This window comes from Homo sapiens, chromosome 4 (assembly GCF_000001405.40).
Source record: "Homo sapiens chromosome 4, GRCh38.p14 Primary Assembly".
Classification (NCBI taxonomy): domain Eukaryota; kingdom Metazoa; phylum Chordata; class Mammalia; order Primates; family Hominidae; genus Homo; species Homo sapiens.
In genome coordinates, this window is record NC_000004.12 from 166,554,303 (window position 1) to 166,576,983 (window position 22,681).

At 37.6% G+C, this 22,681-nt stretch overlaps 2 annotated features.

Moving 5' to 3' along the window:
- Window positions 15,291-15,950: an enhancer, noted in NCBI's record as "OCT4-NANOG-H3K27ac-H3K4me1 hESC enhancer chr4:167490745-167491404 (GRCh37/hg19 assembly coordinates)". NCBI's record gives its function as "activates a minimal SCP1, AML or CMV promoter by ChIP-STARR-seq in primed H9 embryonic stem cells {active_cell/tissue: H9 hESC(primed)}" and the evidence as "EXISTENCE:reporter gene assay evidence [ECO:0000049][PMID:30033119]".
- Window positions 15,951-16,608: an enhancer, noted in NCBI's record as "OCT4-NANOG-H3K27ac-H3K4me1 hESC enhancer chr4:167491405-167492062 (GRCh37/hg19 assembly coordinates)". NCBI's record gives its function as "activates a minimal SCP1, AML or CMV promoter by ChIP-STARR-seq in primed H9 embryonic stem cells {active_cell/tissue: H9 hESC(primed)}" and the evidence as "EXISTENCE:reporter gene assay evidence [ECO:0000049][PMID:30033119]".

Consider the following 22,681-nt stretch of genomic DNA (forward strand, 5'->3'; position numbering starts at 1 on the left):
ACTGCCTACTAGAGGAGCCGCACAAAGGTTTATTTCAGCAGAATCCTTTGCAGCATTTAATGCAGACCTCTAGGAGTTATGTTCTCCCCTTATAAAAGCCCAGGTTCCAGAAGGTAAGATCCATATGGGTGACTGTGGAGTTCACAATGGCTCAGAAGCCACGTACCATGCATCAGCCAATGTTCTCTTGTAACAAGAGACCATAAAACCCCTAGAAGAAAACCTAGGCATTACCATTCAGGACATAGGCATGGGCAAGGACTTCATGTCCAAAACACCAAAAGCAATGGCAACAAAAGACAAAATTGACAAATGGGATCTAATTAAACTAAAGAGCTTCTGCACAGCAAAACAAACTACCATCAGAGTGAACAGGCAACCTACAAAATGGGAGAAAATTTTCACAACTTACTCATCTGACAAAGGGCTAATATCCAGAATCTACAATGAACTCAAAGAAATTTACAAGAAAAAAACAACCCCATCAAAAAGTGGGCGAAGGACATGAACAGACACTTCTCAAAAGAAGACATTTATGCAGCCAAAAAACACATGAAAAAGTGCTCACCATCCCTGGCCATCAGAGAAATGCAAATCAAAACCACAATGAGATACCATCTCACACCAGTTAGAACGGCAATCATTAAAAAGTCAGGAAACAACAGGTGCTGGAGAGGATGTGGAGAAATAGGAACACTTTTACACTGTTGGTGGGACTGTAAACTAGTTCAACCATTGTGGAAGTCAGTGTGGCGATTCCTCAGGGATCTAGAACTAGAAATACCATTTGACCCAGCCATCCCATTACTGGGTATATACCCAAAGGACTATAAATCATGCTGCTATAAAGACACATGCACACATATGTTTATTGTGGCATTATTCGCAATAGCAAAGACTTGGAACCAACCCAAATGTCCAACAATGATAGACTGGATTAAGAAAATGTGGCACATATACACCATGGAATACTATGCAGCCATAAAAAATGATGAGTTCATGTCCTTTGTAGGGACATGGATGAAATTGGAAATCATCATTCTCAGTAAACTATCGCAAGAACAAAAAACCAAACACCGCATATTCTCACTCATAGGTGGGAATTGAACAATGAGATCACATGGACACAGGAAGGGGAATATCACACTCTGGGGACTGTGGTGGGGTTGGGGGAGGGGGGAGGGATGGCATTGAGAGATATACCTAATGCTGGATGATGAGTTGGTGGGTGCAGCACACCAGCATGGCACATGTATACATATGTAACTAACCTGCACAATGTGCACATGTACCCTAAAACTTAAAGTATAATTAAAAAAAACAAAAAAAAAACAAAAAAAAAAACAAGAGACAAGCCTGTCTTTCAGTGTCCCACAAGAAACAAAGCAGTTACAAGAGTGACTGTCCTCAGAGAAACCCAAAACCACTGCTTCCAATCAAGTACTAATAATTCATTATTTATTTATCCTCATACAGATGTGCTACACCAATCAGGGATTGCTTGATTTACAAATAACTTCCTTAGAAGCAGTAGATATTCTTACCCTTATTAGGTTTTCAGGAGAACAGAGCTAGAAATATTCAAGACTGGAAGATACACAGCAAAGCAAAGGGTATGTTTTCCCTTTCAAACAAATGTCTTCGCAGAGTTTGCTCTTAATGGACTTTTTTGGTTGTTACTGCTAAAGAGACTCAAGACAAAAATTCACTTGAAGTTCGAACATTTTATATAGAATATGTCACAATTTCACTCTTAGCTTATCTAAAAACAATGGGCTGCACTCACCAAATGAATTAATTTAAAAATGTGTTATATTTTAGAAGTTTTGTGGGTACATAGTAGGTGTGTATATTTATAGGGTATATGAGATATTTTGATACCGGCATGCAATATGAAATAAGCATATCCCGGGAAACGTGGTATTCATTGCCTGAAGCATTTATCCTTTGAGTCACAAACTCAAATCCAATTACATTGTTTAAGTTATTTAAAAACATACAGTTAAGTTATTATTGACTATAGTCATCCTATTATGCTATCAAATAATAAGTCTTATTCATTCTTGCTACTTTTTATCAATTAACCATCCCCACCTCCCTCCCAACTGCCCACTACCCTTCCCAGTCTCTGGTAATCATCCTTCTTCTTTCTGTGACAATGAGTTTAATTGTTTTGATTTTTAGATCCCACAAATAAGTGGGAACACGCAATGTTTGTCTTTCTGTTCCTGGCTTATTTCACTTAACATAATGATTCTCCTGTTCCATCCATGTTGTTGCAAATGACTGGATCTCATTATTTTTTATGGCTGAATAGTATTCCATCATGTATAAATACCACATTTGCTTTATCCATTCATCTGTTGATGGATGCTTGGGTTGCTTCCGAACCTTAGCTACAGTAAACATTGCTGCAACAAACATAGGAGTGTAGGTATCTCTTTGACACATTGAATTCCTTTCTTTTTGGTATAAATGCAGCAGTGGGATTGCTGCATTATAGAGTAGCTCAATTTTTAGTTTTGGAGGGATCTCCAAACTGTTTTCAATAGCAGTTGTACTAACTTACATTTCCACCAACAGTGTACAAGTGTTCCCTTTTCTCCATATTCTTGCCAGCATTTGTTATTGCCTATCTTTTGGATTTTAAATGTGGTGAGGTGATACGTTCTTATAGTTTTGATTTGCCTTTCTCTGATGATAAATGATGTTGAGCATCTTTTCATATGCCTGTTTGCCATTTGTATGTCTTCTTTTGAGGAATGGCTATTTAAATATTTTCCCCATTTTTTAATCAGATTGTTATATTTTTTCCTATAAAGTTGTTTGAGCTCCTTATATATTCTGGTGTAAATCCCTTGTCAGATGGGTAGTTTACAAATATTTTCTCCCATTCTACGGGTCGTCTCTTTACTTTGTTGATTGTATCTATTGCTCTGCAGAAGCTTTTTAACTTGATGTAATCCATTTGTCTGTATTTGCTTCACTTGCCTGTGCTTGTGGGGTATTACTCAAGAAATCTTTGTCCAGACCAGCATTCTGGAGATTTTCTCCAATGTTTTCTTGTAGTAGTTTTATAGATTGACATACTAGATTTAAGTCTTTAATCCATTTTGATTTGCTTTTTGGTGAGAGACAGGGGTCTACTTTCATTAATTGGCATGTAGACATCCACCTCTCCCAGCACCATTTATTGAAGAGATTGTCTTTTCCCTCACTGCATGTTGTTGGCATCTTTTGTCATAAATGAGTTTACTGTATGTCTGTGGATTTGTTTCTAGATTCTCTATTCTGTGCTATTGGTCTATGTGTCTATTTTTGTGCCAATACCATACTGTTTGGGTTACTATAGCTCTGTAGTGTAATTTGAAGTCAGGTAATGTGATTCCTCCAGTTTTGTTCTTTTTGCTTAGGGTAGCTTTGCCTCTTCTGGGTCTTTTGAAGTTCTATGTAAATTTTAGGATTGTTTTTTCTATTTCTGTGAAGAATGTCTTTTGCATTTTGATAGGGATTGCATTGAATCTGCAGATTGCTTTGGGGATTATGAACATTTTAACAATATTGATTCTTCCAATTTTGAACATAGAATATTTTTCCATTTTTTTGGTGTCCTCTTAAATTTCCTTCATCAGTGTTTTATAGTTTTCATTATAGAGATCTTTCCCTTCTTTGGGTAACTCCTAGGTATTTCATTTTATGTGTGGCTATTTTAAATGTAATTACTTCTTAATTTCTTTTTCACTTTGTTCATTGTTGGAATATAAAAATGCTACTGATTTTTGTATGTAGATTCAGTATCCTGCAACTTTACTGAATTTGTTTATCAATTCTAATAGTTTTCTTGTGGAGTTTCCCCCATACTGTTCTCATGGTAGTGAATAAGACTCATGAGATCTGACAGTTTTATAAATGGGGGTTTCTCTGCACAACTGTCCTGCCTGCCACCATGTAAGAGGTGACTTTGATCCTCATGCATCTTCTGCCATGATTGTGAGACCTCCTCAACCATGTGGAACCGTGAGTCCATTAACCTCTTTCCTTTATTAATTATCCACTCTTAGGCATGTTTTTACTAGCAGTGTGAGAACAGACTAATACAGTAAATCGGTACTGGTAGAGTGAGGTGCTGCTGTAAAGGTGCCAGAAAATGTGGATGTGACTTTGGAAGTGGCTAACAGACAGAGGTTGGAACCGTTTGGAGGGCTCAGAAGAGGACAGGAAAATGTGGAAAAGTTTGGAACTTCCTAGAGACTTGTTGAATGGCTTTAACCAAAATGCTGTAGTGATATGGACAATGAAGTCCAGGTTTAGGTGTTTTCAGATGGAGATAAGGAACTTGTTGGAAACTGAAAAAAATTGACACTTTCTATGTTTTAACAAAGGAAAGGGACTGGCTGGATTTTGCCCCTGCCCTAGAGATTTGTGGAACTTTGAACTTGAGAGGGATGATTTAGGGCATCTGGGAGAAGAAATCTGTAAGCACCAAAGTGTTCAAGAGGTGATTTGGGTGCTGTTAATAGCATTCAGTTTTATCTATTCACAAAGTTATTGTTTGGAATTGGAATTTATATTTAAAAGGGAAGCAGACCATAAAAGTTCAGAAAATTTGAAGCCTGATGATATGATAGAAATGAAACACCCATTTTCTGAGGAGAAATTTAAGCCAGCTGCAGAAATTTGCATTAGTAATGAGAAGCCAAATGTTAATCACCAAGACAATAGAGAAAATGTCTCCAGGGCATGTCAGAGGTCTTCACAGCAGCCTCTCCCATCACAGGCCTAGAGACCTAGGAGGAACAAGTGATTCTGTGGGTCGGAACCATGGTTGCTGCTTTGTGCTGTCTTAGGACTTAGTGTACTGCATCCCAGTCATGTCTAAAAGGGGCCAATATATAGCTCAGGCTGTTGCTTCAGAGGGTGCAAGCTCCAAGCTTTAGTGGCTTACATGTGGTGTTGGGCCTGTCAGTGAACAGGGGTCAAGAATTGAGGTTTGGGAACCTCTACCTAGATTTCAGAGGATGTTTGGAAATGCCTGGATATCCAGGCAGAGGTGTGCTGCAGGGGCAGAGCCCTCATGGAGAACCTCTGCTAGGGTAGTGTGGAAGGAAAACATGGGATGGGAGCACCCACACAGTGTCCCTACTGGGGCACTTCCTAGCGGAGCTGTGAGAAAGAGGGCCACTGTCCTCCAGACCCCAGAATGGTAGATCCATTGACAGTTTGCACTGTGCACCTGAAAAAACCACAGACACTCAATGCCAGCCATGAAAGCATCTGGGAGGGGGGCTCTACCCCACAAAGCCATAGGATTGGAGATGTTCAAGGCCATGGGGACCCACCTCCTTCATCAGCATGACCTGGATGTGAGACATGGAGTTCAAGGAGATCATTTTGAAACATTAATATTTGGCTGCCTGGTTGGATTTTAAACTTGCATGGGGCCTGTAGTCCCTTTGTTTTGGCCAATTTCTCCTATTTGGAATGGGTGTATTTACCCAATGCCTGTACTCCCATTGTCTCAAGAAAGTAACTAACTTGCTTTTGATTTTACACACTCATAGGCAGAAGGGACTTGCCTTGTCTCAGATGAGAATTTGGACTGTAGACTTTCGAGTTAATGCTGAAATGAGTTAAAACTTTGGGGGAGTGTTGGAAAGGCATGATTGGTTTTGAAATGTAAGGACATGAGATTTGGGAGGGGTCAGGGGTGGAATGATATGATTTGGCTGTGTCCCTACCCAAATATCACCTTGAGTTGTAATAATCCCCATGTGTCAAGGGCGGGGCCAGGTGGAGATAATTGAATCATGGGGTGGTTTTCCCCATACTGTCCTCATGGTAGTGAATAAGTTTCCTGAGATCTGATGGTTTTATAAATGGAAGTTCCCCTGCACATGCTGTCTTGACTGCCACCATGTAAGAGGTGACTTTGCTTCTCACTCACTTCCCACCATGATGTGAGGCCTCCTCAGCCATATGGAACTGTGAATCCATTAAATCTTTTTCCTTTATAAATTAACCAGTCTCAAGTATATCTTTATTAGCAGCATGAGAACAGACTAATACAGAGAGTTTAGTCCATTTTCATTCAATGTTATTATTGATAAGTAAGAACTTACTCTTGTCATTTTGCTATTTGTTTTCTGGTTGTTTTGTGATTTTTATTCATTATTTCTTTCATTTATGTCTTCCTCTAGTGAAGGTAATTTTCTCTGTTGATGTGCTTTAGTTTCTTGCTTCTTATTTTTTGTGTATCCATTGTAAATTATGTGGTTTGAGGTTATCACGAGGCTTGCAAATATTATCTTATAACCCATTATTTTACCTGATCATAATTTAGCATTATTTGCACAAACAAACAAGAAAAGAGAAAACTAATGAAAACTTGCCTAACTTCATCCTCTCACTTTTTAACTTTTTGTTTTTTTTCTATGTATATCTTATTGTACTATGTCTTGAAAAGTTGTTGCAGTTATTGTTTTCCATGGGCTTATTTTTTAGTCTTTGTACTTAGGATAAGAGTAGTCTATACACCACAGTTACAGTGTGATCATATTCTGTGTTTTTCTGTATACTTACTATTACCAGTAAGTTTTGTACCTTCAGGTGATTATTGCTCATTAACGTTCTTTTCTTTCTGTTTGAAGTACTCCCTTTAGCATTTCTTGTAGGATGGGTATGGTCTTGGTGAAATCCCTCAGGTTTTGCTTGTCTAGAAAAGTCTTTAATTATTCTTTATGTTTAAAGAATATTTTCGCCAGATATACTATTCTAGGGAAAAATGTTTTTTTCTTCAGAACTTTAAATATGTTATGCCACTCTTTTCTGACCTGTAAGGTTTCCACTGAAAAGTCTGATGCCAAATGTATTTAAGCTTCAATGTATGTTATTCGTTTATCTCTTATTGCTTTTAGAATTATTTCTTTATCTTGACATTTTGGAGTTAATTATTTTATTAGTCTGGGTTCTCCAGAGGGACAGAACTAATAGGATATACGTATATGTGAAAGGGAGTTTTTTAGGAAGTATTGGCTCACACAATGATAAGGCAAAGTCCAATGATATGCCGTTAGCAAGCTGGGGAAGAGAGAAGCCAGTAGTGGCTCAGTCCAAGTCCAAAAGCCTCAAAAGCAGGGAAGCCAACAGTGCAACCTTTAGTCTGTGACTGAAGAACTGGGAGACCCTACACCACTGGCGTAAGTCCAAGAGTCCAAGTGCAGAAGCACCTGGAGTCTGATGTCCAAGGACAGGAGGAATAGAAGAAAGCATCCAGCATAGGAGAAAGATGAGAGCCAGAAGACTCAGAAAGCCAGTATATCCCACCTTCTTCTGCCTGCTGTTTATTAGCCATGCTGGCAGCTTATTGCATGGTGTCCACCCATAATGAAGATGGTCTTGCTCTCCCAGTCCACTGACTCAAATGTCAATCTCCTCTGGCAACACCCTCACAGACAAACCCAGAAATAATACTTTACCAGCTATCCAGGCATCCTTAAATCCCATGATATTGGCACCTAATATTAACCATCACAATTATTAAGTGCTTTGAGGTAGTCTTGTTTGGTTTAAATCTTCTTGGTGTTCTGTAGGATTCTTGTACTTAGATATTTACATCTTCTTATAGGTTTGGGAAGTTCTCTGATATCATCCCTTTGAATAAACTTTATACTCCTATCTCTTTCTCCACCTCCTCTTTGAGGCACAGACACTGCTTTACTTGCATAAAAGAGAAGTTTCCAGACACAGTTATGTGCATCTGTGTCTTGGTTCTTGGAGTTAAAGTGGGCCATGCTGTCAGCCACTCTGTGAAGCTCGGAGGAGGCCTGAGGTCTGTCAGGGCATCCCTTGGGTCCAGGATGGTCCTAGCCTGGCCAGGTCCCTTAGTGGAACTGATCTGTGACTTGTTGATTTCCCCTGAGAAAATAAGGCTTTGATGCAGTTCCAGCAAGAGTGGTCTACTGGCCTCCCTCTGAGGCCAGTAGATTTGCCCCTTTGAGGCTATTTTTAAGATCCTGTAGGCATGCTTCATTATTTTTTTTTCTTTTGTCTCCTCAGACTGTGTATTTTCAAATAGCTTGCATTCAAGCTCACTAATTCTCTCTTCCACTTGACCAATTCTGCTATTAAAGGACTCTAATGCATTCCTTAGTATGTTAACTGTACTTTTCAATTCATGAATTTCTACTTGATTTTTAAACATTATTTCAATCTCTTTGTCAAATTTATCTGATAGAATTCTGAATTCCTTTCTGTGCTATCTTGAATTTCTTTGAGTTTCCTTAACACGGCTATTTCGAATTCTTTGTCTGAAAGGTCACATATCTCTAGGATTGGACCCTGGTGCCTTATTTAGATCATTAACAAAGGTCATGTTTTTCTGGATAGTGTTGATGCTAGTAGATGTTCTTTGGTGCCTGGGCATTTAAGGTATTAGATATTTATTATAGTCTTTACTGTCTGTGCTTATTTGTAGCCATACTTGGAAAGGATTTCTAGTTATTTGAAAGGGCTTGGGTGTTGTGATTTGAGCTGTTTCTGCTTTATGAAGCACCCCAAGCCCAGTAATGTGTGGTTCTTGCAGACTCATAGAGATACCTACTGAAAGGGCAATATTTAAATAAATGGAAAGTGATTTGCTTTGGGGTGGGTACAAGGATGATTTCTAGTTTTGTCCTGTACTCCATGAGGATATGCTGTGAATTTACATTATCAGGGTCGGGGGAGGCCAACTGGGGAAATATGTGGCCCCCTATCTTGAATCTATCTGTTTAGGAACAAAAGAAAAGGCAGTTTTTTGTGTGGCTCAGTTTCCAAGCTTAACTTTCCCCTTTGGCATAGTAATGTTGGGTTCCCAAGATCTTATTTTTCTTTCACATAATCAAGTTGTTAAGAAAAAAAAGATAAAATTACAGATACCTAGGAAAGAAGGAGTAGTAAAAGGAGGGTGAGGTTTTATTTTAAAATAAATAAAATAAAATATGTTTACAATGTAAAGTATATTTATGCCAAACTATTATCACTAATAGAAGGCACAATTACCGAATTTCACAAATAATGTATTGATATCATGAAATGTAGCTATGTAGAAATTGAATAATATCAGTAATAAGCTTAATATCAGTAGACATCAAAACATTAAATTGAATGATAAAAGGACTTATTTTCTAAAAACCATTTAATTATAACCTACTTAGAATAGTCTCTTGTAAGGCTTCTGTAACTTCATTAAACTTTATTTTTACCAACTTCATTTATAGCCTCACCTACAAGAGGTGATATACCTGGATCAGTCCTAATGAGGACTCTGATAGATTTTTCTAACAGAAGCTATTCTGGTAGATTTTTTTAATGTAAAAATTGTTTCTGAATGTTTTAAATTTGTTGTAAATGACATTAATATAAATTAAAATTTCATATAAAAATGTACAAAAAATAAATATGCATTTTCTTGTGTTTGCAAAAACTTAATTCCATAAGGCATTATTGATGTTTGGTTATGTGACATTCAGTAGTTAAACCCTAGGAATGAAAGCTTATATGTCAAAATTCAGGGTGTTGATAGGTTTTCAAGAATCCCATTGGTGGAGAAATTATATAATTTTTCAGTGACTTCATGTTTATTAATCTAAAAACTCAGACCTTAGTATGCTATACAAACCTGATTTTGATGAAAGCAAGACAATGGAAGATAAATTTTGAAATGAAAGGAAAGATAGCATTGCTATATTATCTTTATTCTATATTATTTATTTCTATAATAAGTTTTATTTGGAGGAAATACAGTGAAAATCAGTTTGCTAGAGTGGCAAATCTGTACGAGTCTGCAGCAACCCCAATTCTTGCCTCCTCAAAAGAAAGAATTCAACTCATGAGGCATACGGAAGGAAAGACTGAGGCAAGTTTTAGGGCAGGAGCGAAAGTTTATTAGAAATCTCTAGATCAGGAAAGAAAGAAAGAACCCTTGGAGGAAGGCCAAGCAAGAGACTTGAGGGATCTAGTGTGTGGGACTTGATCTTTGACTTAGGGTTTTATATGCTGTCATGCTTCTGGGGTCTTGTGTCCCTTCTCCCGTGATTCTTCCCTTGAGATGGACTGTCCACATGTGCAGCGGCCTGCTAGCACTTGAGAGTATGAGGAGTGTGTTTACTGAAGTTGCACACATGCTCACTTGAGGCATTCTTCCCTTACCAGCCAAATGTCCCCAGGAGGTCATATACCAGATAAGCCAACTGCATTATTATTTTCCTGAATAAATAGAACATTAACTTAATTCTTCCATTCTTCATATAGTTCTGTGAAATTTAGCTGAAAATTGAATATTAAACATAAATATCCAGTGTTTCTGTTTTGTAAAAATCATGTAGAAAATTAGGTAATATATTTAAAGTGCCTACTAATGCTTGGTACACATAACCAAGATCAGCGATTGTTATCAGGTTTATAAATACAAATTAAGATTGTCATTTTTTAATCCATTGGGCTCATGTATTATAAGATTAAGTTTAATAATTCATAAGATAGTCTCCACACTTAGATATATGTGGTTCTACCTGATTACATCATGATTTGATGGAAACAAAAGATATTTTCTAGTTTATGGGAAATTGTTGACCTAGCACTATGTGTGACAGAAATCTCTGTACTCCAAAATCTATTTGTAAGACCTCCATAGAAGCTTCAGTAGATCAAAACTTATACATTTTTTTCACACATCTCATTCTATTGACTCAGACAAATCAAATTGACCTACAACAGCCTCTATTGAAAACATGTCAAGGGAATGTCTTTCAACCAACACAGTGTTCAAAATATTGCTATATTCCATCTATTCAATTATTATTGTCTCTTTTGAAATTTTAATTATTTTCAATATATCCAGAAATAAATCTGAGTTTTTTTAAGGTCCAGCTTATTTACTGAATTTTACTTCATCCAGCACAAAATGATATTATTGGTCTAACCAGTTACTTTAGTGTTTGAAAATCTAATTTTTACTTTTAGGATATAAATATCCCCAGTTTCAAGTATTATATAATACAAACATCCAATTTTCTATTATTCTCAGATTTTCCATCAATTTTATAGTGAAGACATTGACATGAGCATTTTTTAAATGCCATGAAGTTTTTAGAATAACATCATTATAAAGCATTTATATGTGACGTTGCAATGTGGATATCTAAGCAAGAAACATTTTTAAAAGGTTCAGTATACAATTTCAATTCTTATGTGCATGACATTATCACAAATTCTAAGATTCAAAGACATAATAATAATTATGCATTAAGAATGCTAATAAATGGAAAAAACTTGGGATCAATTTTTTTTCTTTTGTACTGTAGAATATTTTTACGATGCATAGAGTCAACTAGTGAAATGTGCTGTATCTGAAGATAGACCTCCTGAGTAATCCTGAATCTCTCCTCTGGTTAACTTTGTGATCTTGGGAAAATTCTTTAATCTCTCTGAGATTCACTTTTCTTAGCCATAAAGTGGGGAAAACAATTATTATACTAACTTTACAGAGTTGTCTTTAAGATTACAGAAATAAATACATGCACAATGCCTAGAAGAGTACCTGGCCCATAATGGGATTTCCACAGCTATTACCTATAGAGTAATATCTTTAAAATAGCAGCAAAGTTGCAGTTCCATTTAAATCCTTTTTATATTTACAGTTTTATGTTTTAAAACACGACCAGAAAAATCATGTTGCAGTGCACATAGGTTCATAAGCTTTATAACCAGCTAGACATAATTTAATTTACCTTTAAATTCCTCGCTTACTAGCTGTGTGACTGGTTCTAGTTACTGTGCCTCAACTCACATTAAAATGAATGGAAATTTCCCTTTAAAACCCTAGTCAGTATTAAATAACCTAATTTAGATCGTTACCTAGCACCTAATATATAGGTAGCAGTTAATGATAGTCTGTTATTGTTATCTAAGTATTCAATTAAATAATAAACAAAAAATTATAGATTCTATTTATTTTTAAATGCCAAGATTTATTTTATCTTTCTTTTAAGCAAGTTGCATATTAACATTTTAACACAAAGTTATGAATGTGTTTTGTGACCACTATTAATAATATATAAGATAGTAAATTGCCAATTTAAGATCTTGAGGCCATAAGCTCCTTGTGGCCAGTAACAACCTTTTTGTTTTTCTGCATTGCTAGTTTCCTAGAGCAATCTCAATAAATCTTTAGTGACAAAAATGTAAAAGATAATGAAAGTAAATGACTTGCATAGACAGATTTTGTAGTCTTAGTCTTATGTGTAGCAACCAACTAGAGAGGAATGAAACATTTAGTTGGCAATAAACTGTCCACATACATGTGTAGCAAAGAAAATTAGACATTTTGTATTTACTTTCTTTCATCTTAAATAGCTTAAATAGCTGGTCATTATTAAACCAATTGTACAACTGTCAGAATTGAACAATAACAGACTTTTAAACTATTGCCAAAATTTTGGTTCATAAAAATTACTAAAAGGTTCGGTGTGATGGCTCACAGCTGTAATTCCAATACTTTGGGAAGCAGAGGCAGGAGGATTGCTTGAGTTCAGGAGCTCAAGACCAGACTGGGCCAAAGAGAGAAACCCTGTCTCTAAAAAGTTAGGTAGGCATGGGTGGCACATCCCTGGAGCCCTAGCAACTCAGGAGGCTGAGGTGGGAGGATTTCTTGAGCCTTGGAAGTTGAGGCTGCAGTGAGCTGTGATTGCACCACTGCACTCCAGCCTGGGAAACCCAGTGACACCCTGGTCTCAGAAAGAAAAAAATACCAAATGAGATAGAGAAGGAAGATATATTATGAGCTAAATCACTTTTTGAGATCCAGAACATCTATTAATATCAGAAAAAAGAAAGAGACAGAAGAGGATACTTATGACCAAAATAAGGACCAGGGTGGGGCAGGGTACCTGGTAAGTTTGGAGAGAAACCCAAATCCAGATTGAGCTCTTCAGGCTAGAAAAAGGGTAAAATTCTAAGGCTTATCTGCAATCTAGTTTAGGGATCCATTTTGAAGAAAGCTACAGAATCTTTAAAGTTCAGTATTTTAAGTGCTTCCTCTATTGTGGGCAGTATTTTGAGATTTTTCTTCTCTCCTACAGGTTATAATGGCAGTAATCAGGCATTTTAGTCCAGGGGGGTCCTTAATTCTATTAACATTCTTTTCAATGATATTGTGCTCAGCTTTCAGGTAGAATGAAAAAAATCAGGGTTGCTTTCATGAGTTCACTTTGTAAATCTGTGACAATGTGAGCAATTTTTGCTTTGCTATTAGGCTAGACTGTTTTGGGGAAAAATTCACGTGCTCCCGCATAGAACACTTAATAGTACCTTGCATTTGTGTAACTGCATGGTCTTTCAATCATGGAGAAAAATTTAATATTCACTAAACTAATCTCAGTGTGATTTACAGAGTCTAAAATGAGCTATTTAAAGTAAAACTTTGTAAAGAAAAAGTATTTAATCCAGTTGCAAAGTAAATTAATATGGTGAGGATTTTTATGTATTTTTATATAAAGAAGTAGGTTTGGCTGTTATCTGAAAAAAATTGTTCAAACAAATGGAACACTTTTATATTTGTTTCAATAATGATATGATCTTTGTATTTCATGCTCTCAAAAATATTTTCCTAAATAATTCCAAAAAGGCAGTAATTAAGATGACGTGTAAAAAACAAATGACTAAAGCTCTATGACTATTTGGCTACCATGTTGAGTAAAAGGTTTGATATTATTACAGGTTTCATAGTATTTTTTCCACTGCCTTTGGAGCTGGATGAATTTTTTGTGGTTACACAAGTGCTAAATAATTTATTTTATTTTTTATCATTTTATTTAAAATTCTCTTAGATTATCAAAAAGTTGTGAGATAGTACAAAAAGTTTCCATACACTCTTCAGCTAGCTTCCCTAAAGATTAGCATTTCATATAGTTGTTTTATATAGTATAGTTGTCTCAACTAGAAAATTAATATTGGTGTACTGTTAACTAAACTAGAGCCTTTATTTGGATTTTATCAGGGTTCCCACTGATTTTTTTAATCTGAGATCAGTTTCAGTTGTTATCATATCTACTTACTCATTGCCAAATCTGGAAGTTTGTCAGTTTTTCCTTGCTTTTCAGGACCTTAACAATTTTGAAGAGTACTGCTTGAATATTTCACAGAATGTCCCTAAATTTGGGCTTGTTTGATGTTTTCTCACAATTAGGCTTCACTATAGATTCAGGAGAAGAATAACATGCAGGTGAAGTGCCCTTGTATTCTCATTATATCAAGGATGCATGAGAATATTACGCATCCCTGGTGATGTCAACTTTGATCACTTGGTGTCTTAGTCCATTTGTGCTGCTATCACAAAATACTTGAGAGTATTGTCTGAGAATGAATAACTTATAAAAAACGGGACTTTATTTTTTCACTAGAAGGTTCAGTGTCTGGGGAAGGCATATTCCTTATATATGGTGCCCTCTAAATTTCTTTAAAAGGTGGAAGGATGAAAGGGCAAAAAAGAGGATAAATAAAGTCTGCATGCTCACATGAAAGAAGAGCAAGAGGGGCCTAAACAGAACTCCCCCCAGCCTTTGAATAAGGCACTAATCCCTTCAAGAGTGCAGGGCTCTCATAACTTAATCACTTTCCCAAAGGCCCCACTTCTTCATACCATCACAATGGGAATTAAGTTTCAACATGAATTTTGAAGGGGACACACATTCAAATCACAGCACTTGGCCACCATAGTTTCAAGTTTCTCTGCTTTAAAGTTACTGTGTTATATTTTTCATACTCTAATTATTAGAAGTCACTAAATCCAGCTCACATTCAAGAAGAAATAAATTAATCTCTAATCCTGGAGTAGTAAGTTTCTGTGTCACGTTTAGAACTCATCTATAAAGAAGATTTGTCTCTTCCCCCATTTATTTAGACCTTATAAAAAAACTTAGGTTAGAATCCTGTATCATTATTATTTATTTTGTTGCTTAAATTGTTTCAGCTTTGGCTATTGGGACTGTTTCAGATTGACTTATGTGCCCTTTTGACATGCTCTATCCTCTTATTTTTTCTTAGTTTCTTTCAGCACTTCCTTACTTTTTGCACACACACACACACACACACACACACACCCTGCAGGATCATCTTGTCATTTTCTGGCCCCAACCTAGGAATCAGTCATTTCTCCAAGAAACCCAGTTGTCTTTTAGTAGAGAATAATATTTACAAATCAAGATGCAAGCTACTGAAGTGTCAGTGGCACTATGCCCTCTCAGCCAACAGAGCAAGGAAATACATGTATATATACAAAACTTAGTGTACACATAGCTCTGTATTTTTTTTCTATTTATCTCTCAGCTATTTATCTGAGTTTTGCTTCCCTCCCCACATCATCTTCTCCCACCTTTGACCTATATTGTAATTACAATTAGGATCCACCTGGAGAATCCAGCCTAGTCTTCCTATCTCAAGATCCTTAACTTCATGACATCTGCAAATTCCTTTTTGCCACATAAGGTAACATTCACAGCTCTGCAGATTAGAACATAGACACTTTGGAGGGAAGGGAGAGAGAACGTTTATTTTGCCTACCACATACTTTTCAATTTCCCAATTAAATATCCAGGAATATTTGCATTCATAAAAATATGTGAGTAAAGAATTAATTAGGAGGAGGAGCCAAGATGGCCGAATAGGAACAGCTCCGGTCTACAGCTCCCAGCGTGAGCGACGCAGAAGACGGTGATTTCTGCATTTCCATCTGAGGTACCGGGTTCATCTCACTAGGGAGTGCCAGACAGTGGGCGCAGGCCAGTGTGTGTGCGCACCGTGCGCGAGCCGAAGCAGGGCGAGGCATTGCCTCACCTGGGAAGCGCAAGGGGTCAGGGAGTTCCCTTTCCGAGTCAAAGAAAGGGGTGACGGACGCACCTGGAAAATCGGGTCACTCCCAACCGAATACTGCGCTTTTCAGACCGGCTTAAGAAACGGCGCACCACGAGACTATATCCCACACCTGGCTCAGAGGGTCCTACACCCACGGAATCTCGCTGATTGCTAGCACAGCAGTCTGAGATCAAACTGCAAGGCGGCAGCGAGGCTGGGGGAGGGGCGCCCGCCATTGCCCAGGCTTGCTTAGGTAAACAAAGCAGCCGGGAAGCTCCAACTGGGTGGAGCCCACCACAGCTCAAGGAGGCCTGCCTGCCTCTGTAGGCTCCACCTCTGGGGGCAGGGCACAGACAAACAAAAAGACAGCAGTAACCTCTGCAGACTGAAGTGTCCCTGTCTGACAGCTTTGAAGAGAGCAGTGGTTCTCCCAGCACGCAGCTGGAGATCTGAGAACGGGCAGACTGCCTCCTCAAGTGGGTCCCTGACCCCTGACCCCCGAGCAGCCTAACTGGGAGGCACCCCCCAGCAGGGGCACACTGACACCTCACACGGCAGGGTATTCCAACAGACCTGCAGCTGAGGGTCCTGTCTGTTAGAAGGAAAACTAACAACCAGAAAGGACATCTACACCGAAAACCCATCTGTACATCACCATCATCAAAGACCAAAAGTAGATAAAACCACAAAGATGGGGAAAAAACAGAACAGAAAAACTGGAAACTCTAAAACGCAGAGCGCCTCTCCTCCTCCAAAGGAACGCAGTTCCTCACCAGCAACAGAACAAAGCTGGATGGAGAATGATTTTGACGAGTTGAGAGAAGAAGGCTTCAGACGATCAAATTACTCTGAGCTACGGGAGGACATTCAAACCAAAGGCAAAGAAGTTGAAAACTTTGAAAAAAATTTAGAAGAATGTATAACTAGAATAACCAATACAGAGAAGTGCTTAAAGGAGCTGATGGAGCTGAAAACCAAGGCTCGAGAACTACGTGAAGAATGCAGAAGCCTCAGGAGCCGATGCGATCAACTGGAAGAAAGGGTATCAGCAATGGAAGATGAAATGAATGAAATGAAGCAAGAAGGGAAGTTTAGAGAAAAAAGAATAAAAAGAAATGAGCAAAGCCTCCAAGAAATATGGGACTATGTGAAAAGACCAAATCTACGTCTGATTGGTGTACCTGAAAGTGATGTGGAGAATGGAACCAAGTTGGAAAACACTCTGCAGGATATTATCCAGGAGAACTTCCCCAATCTAGCAAGGCAGGCCAACGTTCAGATTCAGGAAATACAGAGAACGCCACAAAGATACTCCTCGAGAAGAGCAACTCCAAGACACATAATTGTCAGATTCACCAAAGTTGAAATGAAGGAAAAAATGTTAAGGGCAGCCAGAGAGAAAGGTCGGGTTACCCTCAAAGGAAAGCCCATCAGACTAACAGCGGATCTCTCGGCAGAAACCCTACAAGCCAGAAGAGAGTGGGGGCCAATATTCAACATTCTTAAAGAAAAGAATTTTCAACCCAGAATTTCATATCCAGCCAAACTAAGCTTCATAAGTGAAGGAGAAATAAAATACTTTATAGACAAGCAAATGCTGAGAGATTTTGTCACCACCAGGCCTGCCCTAAAAGAGCTCCTGAAGGAAGCGCTAAACATGGAAAGGAACAACCGGTACCAGCCGCTGCAAAATCATGCCAAAATGTAAAGACCATCGAGACTAGGAAGAAACTGCATCAACTAATGAGCAAAATCACCAGCTAACATCATAATGACAGGATCAAATTCACACATAACAATATTAACTTTAAATATAAATGGACTAAATTCTGCAATTAAAAGACACAGACTGGCAAGTTGGATAAAGAGTCAAGACCCATCAGTGTGCTGTATTCAGGAAACCCATCTCACGTGCAGAGACACACATAGGCTCAAAATAAAAGGATGGAGGAAGATCTACCAAGCCAATGGAAAACAAAAAAAGGCAGGGGTTGCAATCCTAGTCTCTGATAAAACAGACTTTAAACCAACAAAGATCAAAAGAGACAAAGAAGGCCATTACATAATGGTAAAGGGATCAATTCAACAAGAGGAGCTAACTATCCTAAATATTTATGCACCCAATACAGGAGCACCCAGATTCATAAAGCAAGTCCTCAGTGACCTACAAAGAGACTTAGACTCCCACACATTAATAATGGGAGACTTTAACACCCCACTGTCAACATTAGACAGATCAACAAGACAGAAAGTCAAAAAGGATACCCAGGAATTGAACTCAGCTCTGCACCAAGCAGACCTAATAGACATCTACAGAACTCTCCACCCCAAATCAACAGAATATACATTTTTTTCAGCACCACACCACACCTATTCCAAAATTGACCACATAGTTGGAAGTAAAGCTCTCCTCAGCAAATGTAAAAGAACAGAAATTATAACAAACTATCTCTCAGACCACAGTGCAATCAAACTAGAACTCAGGATTAAGAATCTCACTCAAAGCCGCTCAACTACATGGAAACTGAACAACCTGCTCCTGAATGACTACTGGGTACATAACGAAATGAAGGCAGAAATAAAGATGTTCTTTGAAACCAACGAGAACAAAGACACCACATACCAGAATCTCTGGGACGCATTCAAAGCAGTGTGTAGAGGGAAATTTATAGCACTAAATGCCTACAAGAGAAAGCAGGAAGGATCCAAAATTGACACCGTAACATCACAATTAAAAGAACTAGAAAAGCAAGAGCAAACACATTCAAAAGCTAGCAGAAGGCAAGAAATAACTAAAATCAGAGCAGAACTGAAGGAAATAGAGACACAAAAAACCCTTCAAAAAATCAATGAATCCAGGAGCTGGTTTTTTGAAAGGATCAACAAAATTGATAGACCGCTAGCAAGACTAATAAAGAAAAAAAGAGAGAAGAATCAAATAGACACAATAAAAAATGATAAAGGGGATATCACCACCAATCCCACAGAAATACAAACTACCATCAGAGAATACTACAAACACCTCTACGCAAATAAACTAGAAAATCTAGAAGAAATGGATACATTTCTCGACACATACACTCTCCCAAGACTAAACCAGGAAGAAGTTGAATCTCTGAATAGACCAATAACAGGAGCTGAAATTGTGGCAATAATCAATAGTTTACCAACCAAAAAGAGTCCAGGAGCAGATGGATTCACAGCCGAATTCTACCAGAGGTACAAGGAGGAACTGGTACCATTCCTTCTGAAACTGTTCCAATCAATAGAAAAAGAGGGAATCCTCCCTAACTCATTTTATGAGGCCAGCATCATTCTGATACCAAAGCCGGGCAGAGACACAACCAAAAAAGAGAATTTTAGACCAATATCCTTGATGAACATTGATGCAAAAATCCTCAATAAAATACTGGCAAACCGAATCCAGCAGCACATCAAAAAGCTTATCCACCATGATCAAGTGGGCTTCATCCCTGGGATGCAAGGCTGGTTCAATATACACAAATCAATAAATGTAATCCAGCATATAAACAGAGCCAAAGACAAAAACCACATGATTATCTCAATAGATGCAGAAAAAGCCTTTGACAAAATTCAACAACTCTTCATGCTAAAAACTCTCAATAAATTAGGTATTGATGGGACGTATTTCAAAATAATAAGAGCTATCTATGACAAACCCACAGCCAATATCATACTGAATGGGCAAAAACTGGAAGCATTCCCTTTGAAAACTGGCACAAGACAGGGATGCCCTCTCTCACCACTCCTATTCAACATAGTGTTGGAAGTTCTGGCCAGGGCAATCAGGCAGGAGAAGGAAATAAAGGGTATTCAATTAGGAAAAGAGGAAGTCAAATTGTCCCTGTTTGCAGACGACTTGATTGTTTATCTAGAAAACCCCATCGTCTCAGCCCAAAATCTCCTTAAGCTGATAAGCAACTTCAGCAAAGTCTCAGGATACAAAATCAATGTACAAAAATCACAAGCATTCTTATACACCAACAACAGACAAACAGAGAGCCAAATCATGGGTGAACTCCCATTCACAATTGCTTCAAAGAGAATAAAATACCTAGGAATCCAACTTACAAGGGATGTGAAGGACCTCTTCAAGGAGAACTACAAACCACTGCTCAATGAAATAAAAGAGGACACAAACAAATGGAAGAACATTCCATGCTCATGGGTAGGAAGAATCAATATCGTGAAAATGGCCATACTGCCCAAGGTAATTTGCAGATTCAATGCCATCCCCATCAAGCTACCAATGACTTTCTTCACAGAATTGGAAAAAACTACTTTAAAGTTCATATGGAACTAAAAAAGAGCCCACATCGCCAAGTCAATCCTAAGCCAAAAGAACAAAGCTGGAGGCATCACACTACCTGACTTCAAACTATACTACAAGGCTACAGTAACCAAAACAGCATGGTACTGGTACCAAAACAGAGATATAGATCAATGGAACAGAACAGAGCCCTCAGAAATAATGCCGCATATCTACAACTATCTGATCTTTGACAAACCTGAGAAAAACAAGCAATGGGGAAAGGATTCCCTATTTAATAAATGGTGCTGGGAAAACTGGCTAGCCATATGTAGAAAGCTGAAACTGGATCCCTTCCTTACACCTTATACAAAAATCAATTCAAGATGGATTAAAGATTTAAACGTTAGACCTAAAACCATAAAAACCCTAGAAGAAAACCTAGGCATTACCATTCAGGACATAGGCGTGGGCAAGGACTTCATGTCCAAAACACCAAAAGCAATGGCAACAAAAGCCAAAATTGACAAATGGGATCTAATTAAACTAAAGAGCTTCTGCACAGCAAAAGAAACTACCATCAGAGTGAACAGGCAACCTACAACATGGGAGAAAATTTTTGCAACCTACTCATCTGACAAAGGGCTAATATCCAGAATCTACAATGAACTCAAACAAATTTACAAGAAAAAAACAAACAACCCCATCAAAAAGTGGGCGAAGGACATGAACAGACACTTCTCAAAAGAAGACATTTATGCAGCCAAAAAACACATGAAGAAATGCTCATCATCACTGGCCATCAGAGAAATGCAAATCAAAACCACTATGAGATATCATCTCACACCAGTTAGAATGGCAATCATTAAAAAGTCAGGAAACAACAGGTGCTGGAGAGGATGTGGAGAAATAGGAACACTTTTACACTGTTGGTGGGACTGTAAAGTAGTTCAACCATTGTGGAAGTCAGTGTGGCGATTCCTCAGGGATCTAGAACTAGAAATACCATTTGACCCAGCCATCCCATTACTGGGTATATACCCAAAGGACTATAAATCATGCTGCTATAAAGACACATGCACACGTATGTTTATTGCGGCACTATTCACAATAGCAAAGACTTGGAACCAACCCAAATATCCAACAATGATAGACTGGATTAAGAAAATGTGGCACATATACACCATGGAATACTATGCAGCCATAAAAAATGATGAGTTCATATCCTTTGTAGGGACATGGATGAAATTGGAAACCATCATTCTCAGTAAACTATCGCAAGAACAAAAAACCAAACACCGCATATTCTCACTCATAGGTGGGAATTGAACAATGAGATCACATGGACACAGGAAGGGGAATATCACACTCTGGGGACTGTGGTGGGGTTGGGGGAGGGGGGAGGGATAGCATTGGGAGATATACCTAATGCTAGATGACACATTAGTGGGTGCAGCGCACCAGCATGGCACATGTATACATATGTAACTAACCTGCACAATGTGCACATGTACCCTAAAACTTAGAGTATAATTAAAAAAAAAAAAAAAAGAATTAATTAAAGTGTTACATATTAGGCAATAATTGAAATCAACTGAAACATTGATTAATGAAAGACTGTATATTATATTAAATGTATAATTGGAATAGTACATTTTAAAACTATGGTAGATTCCTATTTACTCTGTACTGAGTATGTTATTAAATAAAACAAAATTAAATTAATAAAGGCTCTTTATTCTAAAATAATTTTTCTGGAATAAATATATATATGTGTGTATGTATATATGTGTATTATGCATCAATAGAAAAATATGAAGAAATATACATGCTAACCACTAAGAGCTATTACGACTACAGGACTCAATTTGAAGTGCAGACAGTGGGAGGTATTTTGAGCATAGGAATTTTTGTATTTGATTCTATACTCCTGATTTGCTTGACTTTAAATAAGTATACATGTCTACTGTATAATTAGATAATATTATCAGTTTTCTATTGAAATTACTCACATAGAATAACAACCAGTGCCTATAAAAATTGTCTTATCTAATATGGAGGGGAATGGCCCTTACATTTCTTTCAATTATCATTATAATAGAACAAAACCAAACAAGCAAATTATTTCAATCTTTTTTTTTCCTTAATGGCTTAAAAGCTCTGCTCAATTTCCTGAAATGCTCCATAGTCATTAGTACCTGATATTCTGTGACATTGTTAAAAAAATTGAGCATTTGTATGTATACACATTTCCTTTTTATTTTTTTGTAAAGAATAGAAAATGAAAGCACAGGGAATCCTGTGCTGTGCAGGCAGTGCACCACCTCAGAGCTATCAATGGTGTTGAAGTCGTTGGTACATAACAAGAAACGGCAACTCAGTAACAGCCTCAGGCGCAATCTCTACCTTTGTCATATGTTTTCGTTTTCCATAACAAAGTATTTATCAAAGCATTGGACAGGCATCACTAATCAAATTACAATGATATGTTTTGGGTTTTGATGGGCAATCTTTCAGAATGCC